Consider the following 24,016-nt stretch of genomic DNA (forward strand, 5'->3'; position numbering starts at 1 on the left):
CTGGGAACCAGGGTTTTGGTAAGCCTGAGCCTGAATGAAGCTGTCGGCCACCCCATCTTGGTTCTGTGGGAGTCAGGAGCCTCCTATTCCTCCTTAGGAAGGGGGAGCAGCCAGAGCAGACTGGAGCAGCTTGGTCAAGAGTTGGTCCAGAGCTTGGTCAAGAGTTGGGGGTCAATTGGCCAAAATAGTACAGAGCACTCTGGCCCAGAGTGAGGGTCCTAAGTGCCATCCTGCAGTGCCACCCAGCCTTGCAGCCCACTTAAACCCCCTCCCAGGCTGGGGGTCAGTCAGTGCAGGGCCTGCTCCACGCCCTCAATCCATCCTTTAATTCAATGCAGCCACTTAAGCTGCAGCCTGTGGTGAGGAGGGGATGCAGGCTCTCTGGCTGTGACTAGGTGGTTGAGATCTGCCCACAGCCAAGCCTAGGGCGCCTGGATGCTGGCTTTGTCTCCTGGCCAGAGAATGGCCCCTCTCTGTGCAGTGTGCCCTGCTTCCATGCTAGGGGATGCTAGCCTTGGACTGAAAGCTTTATTAGCTCACACCCCAACTTTCTGGGAAGGGGCCCAGGCAAGGCCCAAGAATATCACAGTCTGGCCTGCACAGAGTGAAGAAGGAGAAAAGGGGAGGAACCTGCCTTGGGAACTTGTCTCATTCTTGGCTCTGCTCTGAAGCTCCTGCTGGCCTCCCTCATACCAAGACCTGGGCCTGCCTTTCCTTCTTGCCCTTCTGGCTTCTCTCTAATAATGGCTTTGGGTTGGTCTTTGGAGCTAAGATAACTTTGCTCTTGAGCAAAAGGTTCTGGAAGAGGGAGTTGTCCTTTACATCCACCCCTGACCTGCTAAGGATGTTCCCTAGCTGAGGCAGGTCTACATTCTAAGGAACGATTAGTAGCCATGATGGCAAGACTGCTTTCCTGAGAGGAAAAGCCAGGCACCATGGCAGCAGATGATTACCGTGAGGGCCCAGTGAAAGGGGCCTGATCACGAAAGCTGAGAAAGTAGTGGCCACCCCTCTGGGCCCCAGGGACAGGGAAAAGAGAAGCAGCCATGACCTTTGGCTCTAGGTATTGGGATATTCTCAGGGCTGGTGGTCGGAGGTTGCCTTCTGCACGGAAGGTGCCTCCAGCTCCTTGCTAGGTGCCGCACTGAAGGAAAGGGGCCAGCATGACTGGTCGGCAGTCCAGATTTGCAAATAGGACTCCACGAGTTGTGGCACAGTTTGCTCTGCACGTTTTCTGCCCTGTGGACAGGGTCTCTAGGGTTCTCTCGAGAGACCAGAGAAGCCAATGAGGTTTGACCAGAGGCTCTACGACCCAGCAAAGCTAAGGCCCTAGCCTTGGCAGTCCGTACTCTGAAATAACTCAATCGGGAAACTCAGGGACTTGAAGGCCTGGAAGCCCAGGAATAACACCCTCTCGAGGGAGAGACAATGAGGAAGAAGCCATGGCCAAAGCCTAGCAGGGATGGAGGTGCCAGAGGGAACAGAAACAACCAAAATGATCCCAAGAAGTCAACAGTGGGAGGAGAGGGAAAGGCGCCAAGTCTTAGAATGTGTGTCTGTGGGTGCAGAAGAGGGGTGCTCTGCAGGAAATGCAGTTGAGGCGCTAAGAAGGAGAATGCTGGGAAGGTCCTGGCGAGAGACCGAGAAGCCTGGAGGGCTCAATTCACCACGAGTAGCTGTTTGGGGCTGAAGAGAGATTTGGGTCAATCTTTAGAGAAGACAGCCTCTAGGGAGAGTCTTTGGGAGGGTCCCCTCAAGGTAAAGGGACAGGACTGGGGTGAGGGCTGGATCCCAGCGCAGGAGGTGGAGTGTTTCTGGGTCTCAGGCAACACATTTGTGTTACGTTACATTCTCACAACAACCATGAGAGGGACTGCTATTGTCCCATTTCACAGATAAGAAGACCAAACCTTAGTGCTCTGAAGTCACTAATGCAAGGCCCCACTGCCCAGTCACTTGTGGAGCCAGTGAATTCACACCACCTGACTCCAAACCTGTACACTTTAAGAGCCCACTGACATCCTCTCCTTTCTCTGCCTTCCTCCACGACCCTCCTTTTCCGCCTGCCTTCTTGGTCTCTGCTGCGGGGGGCCAACCTGGACCTTGGGGTCCAGTGTCCTGCCATTAGTCATCTGATACCCGGGCACTAAGCCCAACCGGAGGGACAAAGCCCACACCGGCCACGGGGTGGAGGAGAGTCGATGTCGGATTTAGGGCGGGGCTGAACCAAGCCCAGGGCCGCGGGGGCCGTGGCTTCAGCACCGCGGAGAGCGCCATCTCCGGGGGCGGGGCTGGCGGGGTGGGGGCGGGGCCTGGGCGGGGCGCGCGAGACCCCGGCCGGGTCCCGGGGGCGCGCGCGGGGCGCTCTCGCCAGTCCCGCGGGCCGTGCGCGGTGCTGTGCCGCGCCCTGCCAGACACAGGTGCGCCCGCCTAGCCCGAACTCCGCGGCGGCGGCTGCCCTCTCGCCGCGCCTCCGCCTCCTTCGCAGCCGCCGCCTCCTCCGCGCCGCGCTCCGCCCGGATGGCCAGGGCTGTGCCCGAGAATGGCGGAGCGAGAAAGCGGCGGCCTGGGAGGGGGGGCCGCGTCCCCGCCCGCCGCCTCCCCGTTCCTGGGGCTGCACATCGCTTCGCCTCCCAATTTCAGGTGAGAGTCCCCGGCCGCCGCGCGCCTCGCCCTTCAGCGGGGACTGATCCGCATTGGCTGCCCTGCCCGCCCCCCACCCCAGAACCTCGGGAACCCGGGAACGAAAGGGCTGCGTGGGAGTGGGGTCTCTTCCCGGGACAGAGCCCCCCTCAGAAGCCCCGCCAGCCTCAAGTCCGGACTGGTAGCCGTTGCATGTTCACGAGGCTGTTCCCTCCGCCATTCCTGGTCCTAGGCTGGGAGGTCTGCGCTGGAATTGGAGGAGGGGGCTCGGAGGCCTCCTTCTCCCCAACCTCCGGGCTGCGGCAGGGTCTGGGGTCGGGGTTGCGATCCCGGAGCGGGCAGGCAGGCTGCATCTTAGCCTGTGAATAGAGCTGGGAACAGCCTGGAGGGGCGCGGGTCGCAGTTTCCTGGGGCAACGACATTGTTGGTGCTGGGAGGAGGATGTTTGAGCCCCTCCCCGAGCCCTGCCTGGCCAGATGGGCCTACCTGCCAGGCCTGGCGTGGCCGGGCCCCTCTCTGGATTGGGCAGCACCGACCTAGGCAGGTGTGTCTCTCAGGGCAGGCGCTGAAGGCTCAGCCTCAACCAGGGGAATCCTAGGCCCGGCTGCGGGAAGGGAAGTCGGCTCGGCTCTGGAGTAGCCAGGGCCAGCGAGGGTGTCGAGGGGATCCCTGCTGGGGTAAATACCCAGAACCCTGACCTGAGCTCCTATTCCACCACCCCCACCCCCCAATCTGGTGTTAGGCCCGATGCATTTCAGAGAAGTGAGGGGTGAGTGTTGTGTGGAGGAGGAATAGATGTACCTCCCCCATAATTCTGAACCCTAGTTGGTGGGGAGGAAGAGGCCGAAGTCACTGCTCCCGGCCTAGAGAGGGAGGCTTAGACATACCCCATTGTTTCCCCATCTCGAGAACTGGCGCCTTCCCCTCTCCTGGGGCACCACCCCAGCCAGGCTCCAGCTGGGCTGTGGTGCCAGCCCCTCCTGGGAGCAAGGGGTCACTGGCTCCCAGGTCCTCAGGTGGGCAGAGACCCCTGGGGATCTCTAATAGCATCATCAAACTCAGAAACCTTCCCTGAGGCCCTGAGCTGAGCTGGAAGGACCAGAGGGGGCCAGATGGAGGAGGCCAGGCCTGAAGGCTCCAGGGCTGCAGCTCTCTGATAATGCCTTAGACTGAGGTCTGAGACTCCACCTGGCATGGTGCATGAGGCCTCCATGCAAATACTGCCTCCCCACCTGGAGGCCTCTGCAGTGGAAGCACATGGGGCTTAGAGGGACCTGGGTTCAAATCCTAGCTCCACTACTTTCTAACTGCATGACCCAGGCAGGTTTTTGTCCTCTCTGGGTGCCATCTGTTAAGTGGGCTAATTAATATTGATTCTTGCCTGGAAAGGAGAAAAAGCACATCAGGTCAGTGTTCAACAAGTGTCAGCCCCCACACTAGCAGACAACACTACGGCTCGCTGCTGTCCAGAGTGTCTTCCCAAGGCCCCTCCTTTAACCCTCATAACTGCCCCAAGAGAGGGTAGTGACCTGCCCATTTTATAGATGAGGTGATTGAGATTAACAAAGGCAGGGTGGCTCATCTGGAGACTACAAAAGAGTCAGAGACTAAGGCTACACTGGGACCCAGGTCTGTGCGTGTTTAGTCCACTCTACGTCCCAGCCCTGCCTCTGGCCCAGTGGGCAGCTTTTCTTCCTCGACCTGCTTCCCCAGGTGTCATAGATGCTTTAATGAGAGGAGCTGAGGAAGCAGACACCAGCCAGTGAATGTGTGGCCAGCTCTGCGGCATGTGGGACAAGGGTGGCAGTAGGCCACGAGGCTGAGGTGTGGGCCAGCACTCCAGAACATGGTGGCCTGGCTGCGGAGACAAGGCCAGTGCGTGGGAATAATAAGCGTCAGTGTCTCAGGCCCTGCCGGCCTGCCCCGCTGCTCCCAAAGCCCCCGCTGCCCTTTCTCCTGGCCCGCCTCTCACTGTGCTTGGCCAGGCTCCACTTAACCCTGGGTGGGTAGATAGTGCTTTCTTGTGGCTCTTTGGTGGAGTCATAGATCCAACTGGCCTGGGTTTGAATCCTGGCTGGCCCTTCTTACCTGTGTGCCCTGACACTGGGCACTTAAGCCCTCTGAGCCTCTGAGATGCCAGCACTGGCCCCTGCTCAGGATGGTCCTAAGAATCAGATGAGATAACACGTGTTGAGTGTTTCAAGGGCTGAGGAGAGCCGCCTGTAGGCAGGGCTGTGTGTGTGCACACACACACAGGCGCCTTGACCCCCAGTGCCACTGTCAGCTCCCAGAAAATAAAGGGGGTCTGTACCCAAACTTTGGTATCCCCATTGCTCAGCACGGGATAGTTACTCAATAACAGTGGTAAGCGCTGACATTTGGAAGGCACTCAGTTCGCCCAGGCACCATTCTAAGAGTTTCCTATGTGCAAGAGTATTTACTCCTCCCAATAACTGTATCAACAGAGCGTTGTTATTATCCACACTTGCATGAAGAAACTGAGGCAGAGGGAGGTTAGGTAAGTGGCAGAGCTTGTAAGTGGCAGGCAGTCTGATGTCAGAGCCACCCCAAAAAGAAAGAGCCCTAGAGTATTGGAAGAGCATGTGCGGAGGGGGCGAGCATGTGGACCTGACCTGAAGGGGTGGGAGCATTCGTTTGTTTGTGGTAGGTTAAATACGTGTTAATTTTTGTTCTGATTATAGCTCCAGCTGTTTATAGTGGTTGGTTACCTTTGGGTATGGTATGGGGTGAGGGATTTTTACTTCTTATTTTACATACTTTTTTTTTTTGAGACAGAGTCTCACTCTGTCGCCCAGGCTGGAGGTTGGAGTGCAGTGGCATGATCTAAGCTCACTGCAACCTCTGTATTCTGGGTTCAAGCGGTTCTCCTGCCTCAGCTTCCCAAGTAGCTGGGATTACAGGTGCCCACCACCACGCCCGGCTAATTTTTGTATTTTTAGTAGAGACGGGGTTTCAACATGTTGGCCAGGCTGGTCTTGAACTCCTGACCTCAGGTGATCCACCCATCTCAGCCTCCCAAAGTGCTGGAATTACAGGCTCGAGCCACCACGCCCAGTGTCATACTTTTATATTACAGGTTGAGTATGCCTGATCTGACATGCTTTGGACCAGAAGTGTTTCAGATTTCTAATTTTTTTGGATTTTGGAATATTTGCATATGCATAACGAAATAGCTTGGGGATGGGAACCCAAGTCTAAAAATGAAATTGATTTTTTCTTATATATCTTATACATATAGCCTCAAGGTAATTTTATACAATAATTTAAATAATTGTGTGCATGAAACAAAGTTTTGATTACAACCTGTCATGTGGAGTCAGGTGTGGAATTTACAGCCTGTGCTGTTATGTTGGTGCTCAAACATTTAGGATTTTGGAGCATTTCAGATTTCAGGTTTTTGGATTAGGGCTGCTCACCTGTATTTGACTTCTTATTTTATAATGAGTATAGGTTACTTCTGTGTCTTACAAAATAATAAAAGAAAATTCAAAATTAAAGTGATACATGTTCATTATAAAGAAAACTCTAGAAAAGAGAATTTAGAAATTTACACAGTGGAGACATTGGCACTGGGTAGGTGGGACAAAGAGGAGGGGCAGAAGGACAGTTCACGTGGGAGGAACAGCAGAGACAAAGGGGGTTTCATGGACAAGAAGGGAGCGAGCGGCCTGTCTGGGGTGTGTAGAAGGGGAATCGTGGATCTGAGAGACCTTAGAGACCAGCTCGTCCAACCAGCTCCCTCCCCTTATGAGGAAACAAGAGAGGGCGAGTGGCTCCCCCAAGAGCACACAGCAAATTAGTGGCAAAGCTGGGATAGAGCCAGGCCATGGCTGCCTGGATGGTTGCCATCTGCCCCAGCACCCTGCCTCAGGGATGAGAGATGGGGCCACCGAGAGGCTTCTTCCTTCATTCACTCAACAAACGTTTGCACTTTGCCTAGGTCACCAGGGAAACACTGCAAAGGCCCAGACGTGGGCCTGGCCATCATGCTATTGGTGTTGTAGAGGGGAGACAGACAGACAGACGGCTTTACAGATGGGCTGGTCGGTGTGATGATGGCTCAGGTCAAGGGACCCAGGCTCAGCGGGTCTAGACAGGCCCCCCAGAGGCAGGGACATTTCAGCTTAGGCCTGGTGGACGCATAAAAATATCACCCAAGGGTGTCACTGGAGTGAAGGGCGGAGACCAGAGCGGGTGGGCAGGGTGTCTGGTGCCCAGTCTGGCAGGAGGGTGGAGAGCAGGATGTGCAGGAACTTGTAGGCCATGTGACGATGCCGACCTCTTCACCAACAGCCAGAGGAGCTGGCAGGGGGTTAGGAAAGGAATGACAGGGTCAGACAGATCCTCTAGGACAGGGGTGTCCAATCTTTTGGCTTCCCTGGGCCACATGGAAGAAAAATTATCTTGGGCCACACGTAAAATACACTAACACTAACGATAGCTGATGAGCTAAAACACAAAAACATCTCATAATGTTTCAAAAAAGTTTATGAATTTGTGTTGGGCCACATTCAGAGCCATCCTGGGGCTCACGCACCCATGGGCCATGGGTTAGACAAGCTTGTTCTAGGAGGATCACCTGGCTGCTGGGTAGAGAGCGGCCAGGGGACTAGCCATCCTGCTGGTAAGAAGGAGGGACAGGTTCAGGGTGTGAGGAAGAGTTAGGGGGCAGATTAGCCTGCTTGGTGAGGGATACAGAATAGGGAGTGGGGAGGCAGGAGTCTAGGATGATGCTGGGGCTCCTTGGTGGGTGGGGTGTCCAGTGGGAGACCAGAGGGCGGTGGGCAGGGTGTGAAAATCATGTGGGAACCTGCTGAATTTGAGACTGGGGATCATTGGAGGACCCAATTGGAGGAATCATACAGTCAGTCGGTTTTGGGTCTGGAGCTCAGAGGAGAGGATAGGGCTGGGGCCAAAGACCCTGGGAGTCTGAGTTTGGAGGGATGGCCACTGAAGCCTCAGAGAGGACATCACTGTCCAGGGAGACTGAGCAGAGGGCAGGAAGATGGCTGGCCGGTGGCCTGTTCAGCCAACCATGTTTCGGTGGAGGTGGGGAGGTGCTGCTGGAGCTGCCTCATGCCCAGGACCGCCTTGGCCTGGCTCCTGATGGACCTTGGATGTGGAGGCAGAGAGTGTTGACTTGCCTCACACAGTCCGGCAGTGGCCAGGGCAGAATTTCAACCCCAGCTCGCTGATGGCAGAGCTTTAAAGTTCGTCTCTGGATTGCTGGAAATGGGCCACAACACACTTCTAGCTTGGGGCCCCCATGGTTCCCACAAATTGGGTCACAGCCACCATCCACACGTAGTTCTTAATCATTCTATGATGCCATCTTTGTTCCCTGGCCCCACTCTTGTATTCATTCCAAAATAGCAGGAGCGTCTCTGGGTGCTTTGCCTTGTTCCGCCACTGGAGATGCCAGTGGAGAGCTCATGGCTCCTGCTGTCATGTTGCTTGCAGTGCCTCTTTAATAGGCACTGATTTAGCACCTATGGTGTGCAGGGTTTTGGGCTTTGTGCATAGATTGGAGCAAAGGTGGGGAGTCAGTGCCCAGGTGAGTATGATGACCCTGCCCTCAGGAAACTTGCAGCTCTGGGGAGGGCAGGCAGCCCAGCAGCAGACGGGGAGCCCATGCTAGGCTGGCATGACCCAAGATGAAAGTCTGTGAAGGACAGCAAAGGAGAAAAGAGCGCCCCAGATTCTACCCCATCTCACAACTCTGTGTCCATGTGAGTGTTTCTTCCTGTGTGCAATATCATCCTGGGGAGACCACTGGATCATATATGCTGTCTTTTTGCTCATTTTATTAGTTGTCACCTTAATACACAGACTTTATAATGTTGATTCCAAAAGACTGCATCACATTTCATCTGCTGATGGCCACGATGGAACCAGCCCCCTGGTGCTGGGTGACGCAGGTGTTTTCAGTTGTTTGCTGTGATGAGGAATGAACATCCTGTGTGTAACAGTTCTTCTCCAAACAATGTGGGATTGTTTCCTCGAAGCAGTTTCCCAAAAGTCGAACAACTGGATCCCAGAGTTCTTGCAATGTATCAGCATGAAGATGTTTAAACAGATCAAACATGTTATAACCGCAAGTGGGGTTGTCCCTCGGGGCTCATTTCTTTGGTTGGATTCAGTTTTCGTTGGAGATGACCTCCGTATGGAGGTGGTCAGGAAGGGAATTCTGACCCAAAGAACAAACCCAGCCCAACCCCATGTTCACCCAGAGCCAGGTGGTGGGGGTAGAGCGAGGGCCTGAGAGGGATGCTGGGTCTGGCTCATCCCCACCCCACCGTTTCAGCCAGCACCGTCTTCCCAGAGGACCTGACATCCTAGCCCAGACTCTGGTGTAGGTGGGGACACAGGAAGTTGATTGGAAAAGTGGACTAACTTAGAGATTTCCAAGGCAAAAATCCAGAGAGCCCTGGGACACCTGTGGTTAATTCATTCAGCATTTGTCAAGTACCTATTAGGCACCACACATGTTGATCAAAACAGATATGATCCCACCCATATGGATTAACTGACTCCAAGGGGAGGCCACCGCGGGCCGCATAACCCAAAGGTAAAATTACAGTGATACGGAACCACAGCCAGGAGGGACTCCGAGAGCCCATAGCAGGGCGGTTTGGCTTGGTCCCAGAGGTCAGAGAAGGCTTGCAGAGGAGACCATGCTACTGCTTTGGGAGCTGCGCTATTGAAGGAGGAGATAAAGGTGGGAGGTGGGGGGAATGAAGGGAAATGATACTGGTTGGAGGGAAAGGAGGCTTTACAGAGCCTTCAGGCCACAGATGAGAATTTGGGCCCCTTCTCCTAAGGACCAGGGGAAGCTATTAAAGGGCTTTGAGCTGGGAAGAGTGACCAGACCAGATTTGTAATTCAGAGGTCAGCTTTGCTGTCATTACCTGGTGGAGAGTGGCTGGTAGAGGAACCAGAGGGAAATGGGGAACCCACTTAGGGTTGAGCGGCCAGTCAACAGGTGTCCTGAGAACTCACTGGGAGCCAGCTTCGTTCTCAGCACTTAGAGGGCTGCAAAGAGGCAGGCTGGATCCCTGGACCACACGTGCCCTCTGTCACAAGAGAGGCTTGTGGGGCATTGTGGCCAGGACCCAAGGTCAATCAGCTGGCATCCTTACCTCCTCACCACAGCACAGCCAGGAACACAAAGGCCCAAGAATGACATCTGAACAGCCAATGCCTGGCTCAGATTTGGCCTTGCTCAGCTAAAGCCTCAGCACTTTACCACTTAACCTTTGCTTTACATACACTTCTAACTCAGCCTACTACGGAGCTGAAATAGTCCGTTAGAAAGGGCAGGACTGTGGTTGGTGGAAATGTGACCCAGCAAGGCAGGGGAAAAGGGCCTGAAATCAACATCAGAACACAAAAGGCATGTTTGTTCAGGGCCATTTAGAAAAGTGCAGCTCAGGGTGGGGTGGGAGCAGGAGCTGGTATGGCGAGAACAGTGAGGAGCTGGCAGGGCAAAAGCAAGGACTGGGGCAGCAGAGTAGGAGGGATCAGGTGAATGCAGGAACAGGGCCTCAGGTAGAAAGGTCAGGGCGGTCTCCAGAGACCAAACTCACAGCTCAGAGCCACCAAACGTTAATATGGATGACGTCTCAAGGATCACAGCATCCAGGATAGACAAGCAGGTCTGATGGGTGGGCAGGGGCTGCTTCTACAGGAGACTGCTGAAACTTCCAGACCCAGAGGTGAGGGAGGCCGGCCTGCGGAGGGCCGTAGGATTCAGTTTGGAGGCCTCCTGGTGCTAAGGCTGCCATGAGCAGGGTGGATCAGGCGGGACAGGAGGGAACCGCCCTCTTTTCCCCTTCTTCCCCTCCCTTCTCCCCTCCATCTTTTCCTCCCTCCTCCTTTCCCTCCCTTCCCCACATTGACCTTCCATGAGCCTTCAGGGACCAAGTGTCTGTTTAGCCTTCTCTCCATAAAGGGACCCCCCAGGGTTTTAGCTGGGAGGCCAGAACATCTGGTGCCTGGAAAAGAGGAAAGGGCAGAGTCTTGGATGGGGGGTGACTTGCACAGGGTACTCTTTGACCAATCAGTCCCCCTTGATCCTTGGTAGTGACCTCCTACTCACACAAATTCCATTCTGCTAACCCTCACCAGCCCTCTGAGGTGGGTGGGCAGGGATTGGTGGCTTCATCCTGTATCTGGGAAGCTGAAGCATAAGGCACCTTTATGTCTAAGCCTTAGTGTTCCTCATCTGTAAAATGGGAAAAATGGAACAAACCCTCTCCCAAGGTTGTTGCAATGAGGATTAAGAGAGATGCATGGCATAAATGTTGGGGCCAAGATGGGGCAGCTTCAACGTGAAAGAGTCAGGATTTATTTCAGGCCTCCTGCTTCCAAGCCTGATATGGTGATCATTCTTCCATCCTGCCTTACTTATGAGAGGCACCTAAAAAGTCAGACAAAGCATCCCCCTTAACCCACCCCAGTAGAGCCAGGGATCAGGCATAGGCTCTCTGACCCCCAGCCCAGTATTCTTTCTAGCATTGCCCAATTAAAGCCCAGTGCCCTCAGCTGTACAGGAAGAATGCTGCTGTCCTTGCCCCACCCAGACCTATTGTCCAAGGAAGTGGGAATATCAGGTGATGTTGAGGGTGTAGAAGTGAACTGAGAAGCCTCTAACCCAGGTCTAAGCCAGACCCTGCAGGCCCTGCTCCAGCCTGCAGTTCGAGAGGAGCAGGTGGAGGCAGAGGCTGTCCTGTGACAGACATCTAGCAGGCTCATGCTGAGGACTCAGTGTATGCAGGATGAACTCGCCAGCTCTGCCCTCCAGGAGCAAGGGGAGGAAGGGGTCTTGATCACCTGCTGGGTACAGTATAGGGTCATCAATCAGGGTGCTGGATACAGGCCCCATCCACCTTTGGAGCAGCCAGGGGGTGGGAAGTGGGTGTTTCTGAGGGAGGGCTGGCCCTGTCTGCTGCACACACTACTGTACATCCAGGCAGATGGTGACATCAGCCACATGCAAGGGCTGGGAGGGCTTCCTGGAAGAATGAGCTTAACTGAGCACTCTTCCAGCAAGCATGGTTTGAGAGTCTGCCACGTGCTCCCTCTGAGCACTGGGTTTGGCACTGGGGAGACACAGTGCCCACGCAGACTACGCATGGAGCTGGAGGCCTTGCCTGCAGGCACAGGAACCTGCTGCTAGTGGAGAGCCTTGAGGGTTCCAAGTGGGGCGGGAGGGATGATGGCATTTCTGGCAGTTTTGCCTGATAGTGGCAGGTGGAGTGGGATGGTGCAGGCATAGGGAGACTGAGACAGACAGGCCAGTGGGGACATCTGGGAGGGCAGAGGCAGGAGCTGGACTAGGGCTTGGCAGTGAGGAAGCGGAGCCATGTGTGAGGAGACACAGATGTGTGCAGGGGGGCTGGGCACCATGGCTCACGCCTGCAATCCCAGCACTTTGAGAAGCCGAGGCGAGCAGATCACCTGAGGTCAGGAGTTCAAGACTAGCCTGGCCAACATGGTGAAACCCTGTCTCTACTAAAAATACAAAAATTAACCAGGTATGGTGATGCACACCTGCAATCCCAGCTACTCAAGAGGCTGAGGCAGGAGAATCACTTGAACCCAGGTGGCAGAGGCTGCGGTGAGCCAAGATCATGTCATTGCTCTCCAGCCTGGGTGACAGAGCGAAAGGCCGTCTCAAAAAAAAAAAAAAATATATATATATATATATATATATATATGTGCAGAGGTCACTGGCAGAGCAGGGGCATTTCAGGGCACCTCTGGGTCAGCGGTCCTGCAGCTCTCCCATGCCATCTGAGTACCAGGGGCTCCCTTTTGCACCACTGGCCTTCTCGGTGACCATCTGGGCAACCAGTGTGAATTGAACACTTACTTGGTGCTGGCCACTGGGTTTTTGTCCCTGAGCCTGAGATGCCACCCTGCCCTGGCCGGACGGAGGAGGGCTGCTCTGGCTTCTGGGCCAGGCCCTCCTCCCCACTTCCACCCCAGCTGGCCAGCCACACCCTCCCCATGGCCTGGGGAACCACCACCCTTGGGCTGCAGGTCAGACGTGACCCTACAGGGCACCTTGTCCATCCAGCCCCCATTCCCCACCCCTCTGTGCAGTGCCCTCCAGGGGCCTCCAGGTTCTGTTTATGTCATTCCAAAGGGAGAGGAAGCTCATTACCACACAGCAGCCCTTCCAGCTCTGCTCTAAGGGCCCAAACACTGGCCTGCCCTTAGCTGTGGCTCTGGTGCCTCCTGCTTCCATAGGCCCTGCCTTCCTGGGTCCTGAAGGCTCAAGCTCTGGCTGCAGAAGGAGGCAGCCCAGATCAAACCCAGTTTGGATGCAGCCTGGGCCCACAGAAGCCTCTCTGATGAGGTCGGGGGGCTGAGCCTATGGCAGTGCAAACCGAGTGTTCATTCTTAGGGTGTTTGGGAAGCCCCCCTTCATCTCCCACCTGGCACCCTGACTGGGGAACTGGCCCTTTAAAGCCAACCAAGGGCTGGCTTTTGGGGGGAAACATCCTAGATTTCTGCCATCTACTTACAAGCCTGGGCCAGGGAGGGGGGGCCACTCAGCCCCCGACAGGGGCATTGGAAGGGCAGGTGGAGCCAGTGGCATTGATTGCAGTAACCTGATCCCGTGAGGGAGGCGGCCACAGCGGCAGCAGCGCAAGGGCCAGGCCAGCCGGGAGGAAGGTGCCTGCAGCTGAGGGCTGCGCTGGGAAGAGCTGGGGCTGGGACCCGGGTCGGCAGCTGCAGCCTCCTCTCCTGGCCTGTCTATTTTTAATGAGCTCCCCAGGCTTCTGCAGCAGGCAGGACGCAGAAAGACAGGCCCAAGCGGTGGAGGCCAGAGGCCCCCAGCCCTGCCTTGAGCCCTGGCCCCCCCACCCTTCCGGGCATGAGAGGGCAGCCCTGGGGCCCCGCAGCCCCCCGGCCGGGCAGGGCTCTCCATGCAGCTGGTGCTGAAGATGGATTCGAGCCCAGACAATGACAGCTGGTTGGAGGATCAATGGGAGCGCTGGTAGGGGCTACCGGGGCTGGCGGGGGTGGAGACCGAGTTGGGGTGAGCTCCATCGAGCTCAGGGTCTCTGATCTGAATGAGGCGAGTGGCAGGGAGTCTGGGCCTCCTAGGTTCCCCTGGGGGCTAAGCCACCATCTCTCCTGGGTGACCTTGAACTAGTGGGTTTCCCTTGCTCTGTGCCTCAATTTCTTGGACTTATTTGGGAAAAGGCTCATACATTCTCCCCAACTTCCTAAATGTTCTACCCCCCCACCACCCCCCCAGCAAGCCAGGCAGAGTGCCCAGGACCTAGAGGTGAGCAAGAGACAGGCTGCCTTGCAGTGGCTGGCCCAGCCCTGCATTCTGAGGTGGGGACTCAGGGCTGGCCTAGGGAGAGGGGGGTTCTAGTGGAGCTGGTTAGTATTCTGGTGCCCTGGTGCTCTGAGCTGTCTCCCAAGGTTGTAACACCTCTGGTCCCACCTGGGGCTTCTCCTGACCCCATCTGTGCAGCCTCCTGTTCAGGGTCCTTACACTGGATAAGGAGAAGATGTTGTGGTTGAAGAGATGAGACCACCAAGTGCACAGCATGAGGCTGGAGTCCTTTCTGGAATAGGCTGAAACTACCCACACTGACACCAGATTTTCCTTCGCTTGTTCCCTGGGCTCAAGGGGCATGAGTCTTCCTGAGCTGGGGCGTGGGGCACTCCTCTGAGGCTGCTGCCGGCGCCTCGGGTCTTGCTACTGCAGGGATTGCACTGGGAGCTCCCCTACTCCAGGCTGCTCTTCTCAAGTCCACATTCTCCATGGTGAACTGGCCTTGGCACCTGCCTTGACCCTGGGAGGAGGCTCTGACCAGTTGGGCCTTCTAAGCACTGCCTGCTGGTTGGCAACAGAATGACAGCTTCCAGGGAGGAGCCAGAGTGACCTGGAGCCTCCTCTTCCACTGCCACCCTAGGAGGACTGCCTTTTGGCACAAGCCCCTCGCTCTTTCCCTGCCTGCTGACCACCCCCTGCATTGATACAGATGAACCCCAAATCCTGTCCTCTGGGGGCTGTGTTTGGCCTTCAAGAGGCTGCACCCTGGAAGAGGTAACAGGGAGATGTGAGCAGGCATAGTGCCCCTGAGTTGTAACTTTGGCTTCCTGTCCCCACCAGGCTCACCCATGACATCAGCCTGGAGGAGTTTGAGGATGAAGACCTCTCGGAGATCACTGATGAGTGTGGCATCAGCTTACAGTGCAAAGACACCCTGTCCTTACGGGTAAGGGCAAGCTCCCAGGAGCTCCTGAGTGGGGTGGCAGGAAGGCTAGGGACAGGGGTAAGGGTATCCCCATAGTGACAAAGGGGGTTTCAGGTCTGTGCTGGCACCCTCATGAAATGAAATGATGTGCAAGAAACATAGGTATACTGCTTGGCACGTCTTGAGTGTACAATCAGAATTTCATTTGGTATTATTATTATTATTACTGCTGTCGGGGACTAAGACAGGAAGTAGCTCCTTCAACTGCCCACGAGATGGGAGAGGCCAGGAAGTCTTGAGACCTAGGGCAGTAACAATTAGGACCAGACTTAAGGGAGACTCAGGGCTACCCCTGAATCCTTTTGGGAGCAGCCCTGGCAGAGGGCCTGAGGCAGACAGGGTGGAGTCTGGTGGAATCTGCAGTGCTTTAGGGCAGGAAGAAACAGCCAAGGCACCCCTGGAATAGCTCCTGTGGCTGCTGGCTGCTATTACACCAGACAGATGGCACCACGCGGCCTCCCAGACCCTCTCTGGCCTATAGTCCTAAAGGCCCCCACTGAGGGGTTTGCCCAGCATTGCTGCTGGTTTGGGCCCCTTGGCTTTGTCATAGGGAAGATGGCTCTCTCCTGTCCCTAAAGATCTGAATGCTGCCAGGAGGTCCCCAGCACCTGGGTAACTGGGGTCAGATGGGGATCCCAACTATGTCTTTTCAGAACAGGAAGAAGGGGCCGGCTTGCCAGGAAATGGAGGACAGAGCACAGGGCTAGGTTTTAGAGCCCAGAGCTCCTCTGAGCCCCCAAGAGGGCGGGTAGCCAGATACGGTGTCAGGAGAGTGGTTACCATAGGAGCGTGAGGTGTGCCTTGGGGAGGGAGTACCTGTCTCTGTGTTGACCTCCTGCTACTCCCAGAGACTCAGTAAGCTCTGCAAGAGGAAACCAAGGGGTGAGGATAATCCCCTAGTCCCCAGTACCCCAACCTTCCACTCTCTGGCCAGGCCAGGAAGAGGCAGAGGCCTCTAGATTTGGGGAATGGTCTCAGAGCCCTGACTTAGCTTCTCAGAGGTCAGGCACCTGTTCTGGACTCTCACCCTGCCCTCTCCCCCAGCTGCACCAGCAGAGCCTTGGAGAGGGTTGCCTCCGAGCTAGGCAGGGGCCCCAGGCACTACTGGCCAGAGGTGTGCCCCTAAGGGGCCTCAGACAAGCTCCAGCGGGCTTCACACACGTTCCAGTGAATACTCAGCTCTCTCAGAGGCTGGGAGGCAGTAGTGTTATCCCCACTCAACTGATGAGGGGGCCTGAAGGATCAGGGGATCTGTCCAAGGTGCCAGGGAGTTGGCGGCAGAACTGGAGCTAGATGGGGCTCTGCATCCTCAAGGCAGGCTCGTGGAGGACCGATCTAGGGCTGGAGGGGCCCCGGGCCAGCTGGCTTAGGGCGCGGCTGCCACCGCCTTGGTTCCTGGCCCCCGCTCGCCCCTCCCCCTCGGCGTCTCCTTCCCATCCCTCTCAGGTCTCCGCCGTTCCTTGCTTGGCTGAGCCTCAGTTTTTCCAGTTTTCCTCAAGACCCCTTCAAATACTATTTCCCCAACCCCCATCCCTTGCCCACCCCACCCCGAACTCCTTGGCGACCACTGAGTCCCCATAGCAACAGCGGTGACTTCACTCTGGGCTCGGCTTACAACCCCGGTGAGGTCACCGGCCGTTGCCAGGGGAACGGGAGGGCGCAAGGAGTCCGGGGTGGGGACTGTGGGGAGGTGCTGGCCGTCAGAGGCACGGCTGGATCGGGGAGGCGGCGGCCTCGCGCTTCCTCGCGGCGGACGGGCGAGAGCGCCCCAGTCTCCGGCGGCCCCTGCTCGGCTCCCCTCGTGCCCCCTTCGCGCCACAGAATGGACTCGCCCGGGCGGGGGGCGGTGCAAGCGGCCTCGGCCCCGCCCCGGCCCCGCCCCCTGACGCCCCTCCGTGCGCTGTGCAGCCCCCGCGCGCCGGGCTGCTCTCTGCGGGCGGCGGCGGCGCGGGGAGCCGGTTGCAGGCCGAGATGCTGCAGATGGACCTGATCGACGCGACGGGGGACACTCCCGGGGCCGAGGACGACGAGGAGGACGACGACGAGGAGCGCGCGGCCCGGCGGCCGGGAGCGGGGCCGCCCAAGGCCGAGTCCGGCCAGGAGCCGGCGTCCCGCGGCCAGGGCCAGAGCCAAGGCCAGAGCCAGGGCCCGGGCAGCGGGGACACGTACCGGCCCAAGCGGCCCACCACGCTCAACCTCTTTCCGCAGGTGCCGCGGTCTCAGGTGAGGCGCCAACGTGGGGGGCGGCGCCCTGGGCCGCCGCGGAGATGTGAGGGGGAGCGCAGAGGGGCTGCAGCGGGAAGGGGCACCCACGGGTCCAGTGCCTGGGGACAGCGCCTGCATAGGGGCCGCGGTGGCTCGCTCCCGGTGTTGGGATCCGAGGAGCGGGCAGAACCATCCTTACGAAGAGGGGGCTGAGTCCAGCTGGCCGGGCTTGGAGCCTTGAGGCGGGATTGAAGGAGGGAAGGACTGGGGTTAGGAGAGGAGTAGGGAATTAAGAGAATGAGGCTTTGAGGGGTTCGAAGGGTTTGGAGCCTGGGACCTCAGGCTGTGACAGGGTTTCTCCTTTAGGATATGGGGCTCCTGGTGAAAGTGGAGCAGGAGCAGGGCCTGGAGAAAAGGGCATCTGAAATGGTCATCGTGGGGGAGGCCGTGGGAGATCGTGGCGAGGTGGGGATGGGAAGCTCAGGGGCCACAGCCAGTTTAAGATCTGGGCAGCTGCGAATTCCCAGAAGGCAGGGGGGAGGAATGGGAGATGGAGCTGCTTGGCTAAGTTGGGGACCTAGGGCCCCTGGGAGGGTGGCTGGATGCCAAGGAGAGTTGAATAGGGTTGGGGGAGCTGGCTGTGGCCCTTTGTCTTCCAGGCCCATCGGGAGCGGTGCAGGCAAGGAGCTCCTGGGAGGTGGGGCGGCTGGGGCTGCGGGGAAAGGCTTGGTCCCTTTCCCAGGATCCTGTGAATGGCTTTTGGCAGCCCGGCTCAGGAACGTGAGGGCTTGGGAGAGAGCTCCCAGGGGAGGGAGCCTCCGTGGAGTGGAGGGAGCCCTGTGTGGGCATTGTGGGGAGGGGTCCCAGGGCTGAGAATGTAGAATGGGCAGCCCAGGAGATCCAGGAAGGAGGGCTGCTGACAACTGCATCTGTCACTCCTCAGTCTCATGCCACTGTGGTGGGGGGTGCAGGAAAACTCTGTTATGGATTTGTCACTGGGATGATTCATCCTGGTCCCCCAGGCCAGCTGCTAGGGAGACCCTTCCTTGTGCTTTTTCCAGGCTCTACCAGAAGGTCCTCACCCCTTCTAGGCCATAACTTCCCAAGCTCCAGAGCAGAGAGTCACCTGTCTCTGACTTGGGCTGGATTTGAGCATTTTCCAAGTAACCCTCAGTACCTGGGACTGGGGGTCTGACTGTGTCTCCAGAGAGCTCCTGCTTCTCTTCTCCCCTGCCTCCTCCCCCTCTTGCCACCACACACATTGGCCATCACCACCTTTGTTAAGGCTGATAAGAGCATCTCCCTGAGGGTTGGCCAGCTTCCCTGAGCAAGGCGGAGGGCCATCCAGAGCCGGCAAGCCTGGCTGTGACTTGCCACCCTTCCTGCCTGCTCCAGAGGAGAGTTACGAGTGAGGCCTTTGACAGTGGAGGCGGGGTGGACACAGCAAATGGCCCTAGGGATGGCCTGAGGGGGCAGGGCCGGGGCCTCCCTGTGCCGGGCACTGTTGACCACTTCCATCACAAGAGCCTTTTGTTCCCTGCACAGGACACACTGAATAATAATTCTCTGGGCAAAAAGCACAGTTGGCAGGATCGGGTGTCTCGATCATCCTCACCCCTGAAGACAGGTAAGTCAGGGCCCTCTTCCTTACCTGGACCTCCGCCTGCCCTGACTCAGTCCCCACTACAGAGAGCAAACCCTACAGTCTCCAAAGGGCTGAGTAGAGGTGAACTGCCCACCCACATCCCTGCACGAGCCCATCCAGGGGCTGAGATCAGTGGTGGCATGAGTGAGTTGACTGGCCCCAGAGCCTGCGAAGGGCCTGTTGCCCAGGGAGGCTTTGTCTTGGTTTCTGTGTCACCAAGCTGAGAGTGGCAGGTGCAGGTAGCTGGGAGTTGGGAGAGAGCCCCTGCCTTCATGACCTGCCTGCTCTCCAGGGGAGCAGACACCACCGCATGAACACATCTGCCTGAGCGATGAGCTGCCCCCCCAGAGCGGCCCCGCCCCCACCACAGATCGAGGCACCTCCACCGACAGCCCTTGCCGCCGCAGCACAGCCACCCAGATGGCACCTCCGGGTGGTCCCCCTGCTGCCCCGCCTGGGGGTCGGGGCCACTCGCATCGAGACCGAATCCACTACCAGGCCGATGTGCGACTAGAGGCCACTGAGGAGATCTACCTGACCCCAGTGCAGAGGCCCCCAGACGCTGCAGAGCCCACCTCCGCCTTCCTGCCGCCCACTGAGAGCCGGATGTCAGTCAGCTCCGATCCAGACCCTGCCGCCTACCCCTCCACGGCAGGGCGGCCGCACCCCTCCATCAGTGAAGAGGAAGAGGGCTTCGACTGCCTGTCGTCCCCAGAGCGGGCTGAGCCCCCAGGCGGAGGGTGGCGGGGGAGCCTGGGGGAGCCGCCGCCACCTCCACGGGCCTCTCTGAGCTCGGACACCAGCGCCCTGTCCTATGACTCTGTCAAGTACACGCTGGTGGTAGATGAGCATGCACAGCTGGAGCTGGTGAGCCTGCGGCCGTGCTTCGGAGACTACAGTGACGAGAGTGACTCTGCCACCGTCTATGACAACTGTGCCTCCGTCTCCTCGCCCTATGAGTCGGCCATCGGAGAGGAATATGAGGAGGCCCCGCGGCCCCAGCCCCCTGCCTGCCTCTCCGAGGACTCCACGCCTGATGAACCCGACGTCCATTTCTCCAAGAAATTCCTGAACGTCTTCATGAGTGGCCGCTCCCGCTCCTCCAGTGAGTCAGCAAGGGGAAGCAGTGGGGTGGGGGGGTCCCTAGCGGGGGCAGAGCCAAAATGCGAAGTGTTCTGGGAGGCGACCCCAGGCCCCATCTGGTTAGGACTGAGGCTTCTACCTGCCCCGCTAAACCTGGATCAGAGCTGCGACCCCCCATCCAGCCACACCACCTCACCTGCAGGTGCTGAGTCCTTCGGGCTGTTCTCCTGCATCATCAACGGGGAGGAGCAGGAGCAGACCCACCGGGCCATATTCAGGTGAGAGCCATGGGCTGGCTGGGCCTAGCCAGGCAGCAGTTTGGGCCACACACCACCCTCTACTTGTCACCCCTACATGGCCTCAGCCTAACCCCTGCCATCAGCCTTCATTTATCCACTCAGCCCTGGGAGGACAGTGTCCACTCTCTAGGGACTCAGAGTATGGTGACAAAGAGGATGGCTACAGTGAGGGATCCCAGAACTGTGCACCTAGTCTGGCCAGGGGCAGGGCACCCAGGAGGGTGACCAGGAGGATGCCTGCCCACACCCCACCTGACCCTTCTCTAGACAAAAGCCTGCGCTTCCCACAGCCTCTCCATTTTAGAGGGGGCCCTGCCCACACCCTCCCTTGGCCTGTGTTTCCTCGATGGCAGATGCATGTCTGCTTGACCTTGCTCTCCCCTGGGGTTAGTACTGCAACAGGCACACAGGATGCTTTTGCAAATGTTTACTGAAATAACGATGCTGCTGTGGCTCCCAGACCCCAGAGTAGGCCTGGCTGGACAGGCCTTGGTGCCGAATTTCTCACCTGTCCTTGCTGGGGACAGGTTTGTGCCTCGACACGAAGACGAACTTGAGCTGGAAGTGGATGACCCTCTGCTAGTGGAGCTCCAGGCTGAAGACTACTGGTACGAGGCCTACAACATGCGCACTGGTGCCCGGGGTGTCTTTCCTGCCTATTACGCCATCGAGGTCACCAAGGAGCCCGAGCACATGGCAGGTAGTGTTCCCTCCCTGGCCTGTGCCCCCAGCCACCACATCTGTCTGCCCCAACTTGCTGCTAGGTGAACGTGTACTCCAGATCTCAGCCAGCCAGGTGGGGGGCTGAGTGGAAGTGATTTTAGGTCCTTTTCACGATCAAGCAAAGTGAGGCCCGGCCAAGTTGGGCAGCCAGGGATTGTGGCAGCCTCTGTGGGCTCTGCCATTCCCCGTGCCTCACCCACCCTCCTTCACTTGGCTGCTCAGCTCCCTCCTGCTCTTTCTGCCCCTCCTCAATTCACGCTTGCTTTCCAGCCCTGGCCAAAAACAGTGACTGGGTGGACCAGTTCCGGGTGAAGTTCCTGGGCTCAGTCCAGGTTCCCTATCACAAGGGCAATGACGTCCTCTGTGCTGCTATGCAAAAGGTACCTGAGCCCTCTCCCTTCTCCTCCCTTGGATGGGTCCCTGGGGCAGAGGGACGCAGGTGTCTAGAGGCAGTAAAGGGCTCAGGCCCTGGGACAGGAGGGATCAGCAGAGGAACAGACAGCAGCTGACGTGGCTCCATTTGTCACCTGTAGATTGCCACCACCCGCCGGCTCACCGTGCACTTTAACCCGCCCTCCAGCTGTGTCCTGGAGATCAGCGTGCGGGGTGTGAAGATAGGCGTCAAGGCCGATGACTCCCAGGAGGCCAAGGTGACTTCTTCCAACCCAGCCCCTTCCTTCCATGGCCCCAAGCTCTCCCCCAAGACTTGTGATGAAGAGGCCATCTCCTGTCACCCTCACTGCAGGCCAGGTGACCGCCCTCTTGCTTCTTTTCTCCCTCCTGTAGGGGAATAAATGTAGCCACTTTTTCCAGTTAAAAAACATCTCTTTCTGCGGATATCATCCAAAGAACAACAAGTAAGTGGGGGTGGGATGGCAGTGGAGGAGGCACGGGTGGTCTGCAGCCTTGAGGTGGGTGGGTGTGGGCCGAGCCCCCGTCCCAGCACAGACAGACCTGTCCCTGCAGGTACTTTGGGTTCATCACCAAGCACCCCGCCGACCACCGGTTTGCCTGCCACGTCTTTGTGTCTGAAGACTCCACCAAAGCCCTGGCAGAGTCCGTGGGGTACGTGTACACCCTGCTGAGCACCCAGCCCGAGGGAGCACGCCCAATCCCAGGCCCTGGGGCTGCTTCCTGGCGCTCAGCTTTGCCCCTCGGTTTCCCCCGCAGCTCTGGAGAACTATCTCCGGACCCCAGTGCGGGTGGCCTGGAGGGAGGGTGGCGCGGCAGGGTGAGCCTGAGGAGCAGCTTCCAAGCTTGGTAGCTGTTGGGCCATGTCTTCAACTGACATCTTACTGGGAAACGCGATGGCAATTCTGTAGAGAACAGAGCCAAGTGGCCCCAGCCAGAGGAACCAGAGCTGCACTTGGGCCCCAAGGCTCCAGCGGGAAAACCCTGGGTCGGGATCCTGTTCCTCCCTTGCCAGTGGCGATCTGAGCCATCTGTGTGTCCCCTGGCTTCTAGGAGAGCATTCCAGCAGTTCTACAAGCAGTTTGTGGAGTACACCTGCCCCACAGAAGATATCTACCTGGAGTAGCTGTGCAGCCCCGCCCTCTGCGTCCCCCAGCCCTCAGGCCAGTGCCAGGACAGCTGGCTGCTGACAGGATGTGGCACTGCTTGAGGAGGGGCACCTGCCACCGCCAGAGGACAAGGAAGTGGGGGCCGCTGGCCCAGGGTAGGGGAGGGTGGGGCAATGGGGAGAGGCAAATGCAGTTTATTGTAATATATGGGATTAGATTCATCTATGGAGGGCAGAGTGGGCTGCCTGGGGATTGGGAGGGACAGGGCTTGGGGAGCAGGTCTCTGGCAGAGAAGGATGTCCGTTCCAGGAGCACACGGCCCTGCCCCATCCTGGGCCTTACCTCCCCTGCCAGGGCTCGGGCGCTGTGGCTCCTGCCTTGATGAAGCCCGTGTCCTGCCTTGATGAAGCCTGTGCCACCTGCAAGTGCCCGCCCTGCCCCTGCCCCAACCCCCACCGAAGAGCCCTGAGCTCAGGCTGAGCCCAGCCACCTCCCAAGGACTTTCCAGTGAGGAAATGGCAACACGTGGAGGTGAAGTCCCTGTTCTCAGCTCCGTCATCTGCGGGGCTTCTGGGTGGCTCCTGCCACTGACCTCACCGGCATGCTGGCCTGTGGCAGGCCTAGGACCTCAGGCGGGGAGGAGGAGCTGCCGCAAGGCCCTGTCCCAGCAGAAGAGGGAGGCTTCCTGACTGACACAGGCCAGCCCCATCTTGGTCCTGTCACCCTGGCCCCAACTATTAAAGTGCCATTTCCTGTCTGGACTGCAGTGGATGTATCTGCATGGGCCCCTCCCGTCCCCGTCTCGCTCCCAGCCCAGGAAAGCCAAGCCTTTGTCACACATGGTATCTTTATGAGGGCCTTGGGTCATAGGTGTGCATCATAGTAATACTCGGCAAGGTCGGGCCCGTCCCGCTTGCGCTGCTGGGCCCTAGACAGGAGGGGTCGAGGCCCTCGCGGCCTTGGGTGCTTGGGGAGGATGCCATAGTCTAAAGAGAGAAAAGAGGGCATGGGTGGTAGGGGGCAGCTGGCTCTGATGGAACTGAAGTCACCCTTGAACAGATGTGGTTTGGGATGACAAGCCCCTGAAGGCTGGACTTGGGGCACCTCTTAGGGGCGTCTCCACTGTCAGGGATGGGTAGGGGAAGGGGACAAGAGAGATACTACCATCCACCAGGCCGGAAAGTGGCTGCGAGAGTTCCAGGGGGGCGGAAAATGCCTCAGGAACAGACCGCTGAGACCTGTGGGAGATGTCGGGGTGCTCAGCCCTGGCCCAGAAGGCCACCGCCACCTCCTTGTGAATGGGGGGATGGCTCAGTGTGGGGGCACTTGGCAAGCCCTCGAACGCCCAGGGTACCAGGGCCAGCCCCACTCCAGAGAGGGGAGGGGCAGCACCTCCACCATCCGGCCCAAGTGCCCTGCCCTCTGTGCCCCAGGAGTCACCTCAGAGGCTGGGAGCGAAGCAGTGCCACTGCCAGGATGAGGTGGAGGAAGAGGCTGAGCCCAGCCCGGGGGTGCAGAGCCCCCAGCATGGCGAGAACCATCTCCTACACGGGTCCTGGCTCCTGTCGTCCCTATGCTGGCAGGACGGAA

General features: G+C 58.1%; 2 protein-coding genes and 1 long non-coding RNA gene across 3 annotated transcripts, besides 11 other annotated features; 1 reads left to right on the forward strand and 2 right to left on the reverse strand.

The window, feature by feature from the left end:
- Positions 2,235–2,634: a silencer, noted in NCBI's record as "silent region_3290". NCBI's record gives its function as "represses an Ori minimal core promoter by ATAC-STARR-seq in GM12878 lymphoblastoid cells {active_cell/tissue: GM12878}" and the evidence as "EXISTENCE:reporter gene assay evidence [ECO:0000049][PMID:35858748]".
- Positions 2,373–23,187, forward strand: MAPK8IP1 (mitogen-activated protein kinase 8 interacting protein 1). The gene is made up of 12 exons (NM_005456.4): positions 2,373–2,643; positions 14,807–14,912; positions 16,860–17,174; positions 18,702–18,783; positions 19,094–19,906; positions 20,087–20,162; positions 20,711–20,883; positions 21,177–21,286; positions 21,440–21,556; positions 21,693–21,763; positions 21,873–21,971; positions 22,371–23,187. The coding sequence occupies exons 1-12, from the start codon at positions 2,543–2,545 to the stop codon at positions 22,441–22,443; spliced, it is 2,136 nt and encodes a 711-aa protein (NP_005447.1). The 5' UTR covers positions 2,373–2,542; the 3' UTR covers positions 22,444–23,187.
- Positions 12,244–13,115: an enhancer, noted in NCBI's record as "H3K4me1 hESC enhancer chr11:45917073-45917944 (GRCh37/hg19 assembly coordinates)". NCBI's record gives its function as "activates a minimal SCP1, AML or CMV promoter by ChIP-STARR-seq in primed H9 embryonic stem cells {active_cell/tissue: H9 hESC(primed)}" and the evidence as "EXISTENCE:reporter gene assay evidence [ECO:0000049][PMID:30033119]".
- Positions 13,116–13,985: an enhancer, noted in NCBI's record as "H3K4me1 hESC enhancer chr11:45917945-45918814 (GRCh37/hg19 assembly coordinates)". NCBI's record gives its function as "activates a minimal SCP1, AML or CMV promoter by ChIP-STARR-seq in primed H9 embryonic stem cells {active_cell/tissue: H9 hESC(primed)}" and the evidence as "EXISTENCE:reporter gene assay evidence [ECO:0000049][PMID:30033119]".
- On the reverse strand, positions 15,118–16,257 carry LOC124902668 (uncharacterized). The gene is made up of 3 exons (XR_007062664.1): positions 16,174–16,257; positions 15,768–15,813; positions 15,118–15,193 (listed from the first exon to the last, which is right to left on the reverse strand). It is a non-coding gene; the product is annotated as an uncharacterized LOC124902668 (long non-coding RNA).
- Positions 15,612–16,281: an enhancer, noted in NCBI's record as "H3K4me1 hESC enhancer chr11:45920441-45921110 (GRCh37/hg19 assembly coordinates)". NCBI's record gives its function as "activates a minimal SCP1, AML or CMV promoter by ChIP-STARR-seq in naive and primed H9 embryonic stem cells {active_cell/tissue: H9 hESC(naive and primed)}" and the evidence as "EXISTENCE:reporter gene assay evidence [ECO:0000049][PMID:30033119]".
- Positions 15,612–16,414: a biological region, named in NCBI's record as "Sharpr-MPRA regulatory region 31".
- Positions 16,120–16,414: a silencer, noted in NCBI's record as "tiled region #31; HepG2 Repressive non-DNase unmatched - State 4:PromP, and K562 Repressive non-DNase unmatched - State 4:PromP". NCBI's record gives its function as "represses a minimal TATA promoter and a strong SV40 promoter by Sharpr-MPRA in HepG2 and K562 cells {active_cell/tissue: HepG2 | K562}" and the evidence as "EXISTENCE:reporter gene assay evidence [ECO:0000049][PMID:27701403]".
- Positions 16,500–16,794: an enhancer, noted in NCBI's record as "tiled region #10000; K562 Activating DNase unmatched - State 1:Tss, and HepG2 Activating DNase matched - State 4:PromP". NCBI's record gives its function as "activates a minimal TATA promoter and a strong SV40 promoter by Sharpr-MPRA in K562 cells, with weaker activation in HepG2 cells {active_cell/tissue: HepG2 | K562}" and the evidence as "EXISTENCE:reporter gene assay evidence [ECO:0000049][PMID:27701403]".
- Positions 16,500–16,870: a biological region, named in NCBI's record as "Sharpr-MPRA regulatory region 10000".
- Positions 16,691–16,870: a silencer, noted in NCBI's record as "silent region_3291". NCBI's record gives its function as "represses an Ori minimal core promoter by ATAC-STARR-seq in GM12878 lymphoblastoid cells {active_cell/tissue: GM12878}" and the evidence as "EXISTENCE:reporter gene assay evidence [ECO:0000049][PMID:35858748]".
- Positions 22,296–22,797: an enhancer, noted in NCBI's record as "H3K4me1 hESC enhancer chr11:45927125-45927626 (GRCh37/hg19 assembly coordinates)". NCBI's record gives its function as "activates a minimal SCP1, AML or CMV promoter by ChIP-STARR-seq in primed H9 embryonic stem cells {active_cell/tissue: H9 hESC(primed)}" and the evidence as "EXISTENCE:reporter gene assay evidence [ECO:0000049][PMID:30033119]".
- Positions 22,798–23,297: an enhancer, noted in NCBI's record as "H3K4me1 hESC enhancer chr11:45927627-45928126 (GRCh37/hg19 assembly coordinates)". NCBI's record gives its function as "activates a minimal SCP1, AML or CMV promoter by ChIP-STARR-seq in naive and primed H9 embryonic stem cells {active_cell/tissue: H9 hESC(naive and primed)}" and the evidence as "EXISTENCE:reporter gene assay evidence [ECO:0000049][PMID:30033119]".
- Positions 23,256–23,993, reverse strand: FREY1 (Frey regulator of sperm-oocyte fusion 1). The gene is made up of 3 exons (NM_001080446.3): positions 23,867–23,993; positions 23,591–23,664; positions 23,256–23,412 (listed from the first exon to the last, which is right to left on the reverse strand). Exons 1-3 carry the CDS (start codon positions 23,965–23,967, stop codon positions 23,291–23,293), a joined length of 297 nt encoding a protein of 98 aa, NP_001073915.2. The 5' UTR covers positions 23,968–23,993; the 3' UTR covers positions 23,256–23,290.

This window comes from Homo sapiens, chromosome 11 (genome assembly GCF_000001405.40).
Source record: "Homo sapiens chromosome 11, GRCh38.p14 Primary Assembly".
NCBI lineage: Eukaryota > Metazoa > Chordata > Mammalia > Primates > Hominidae > Homo > Homo sapiens.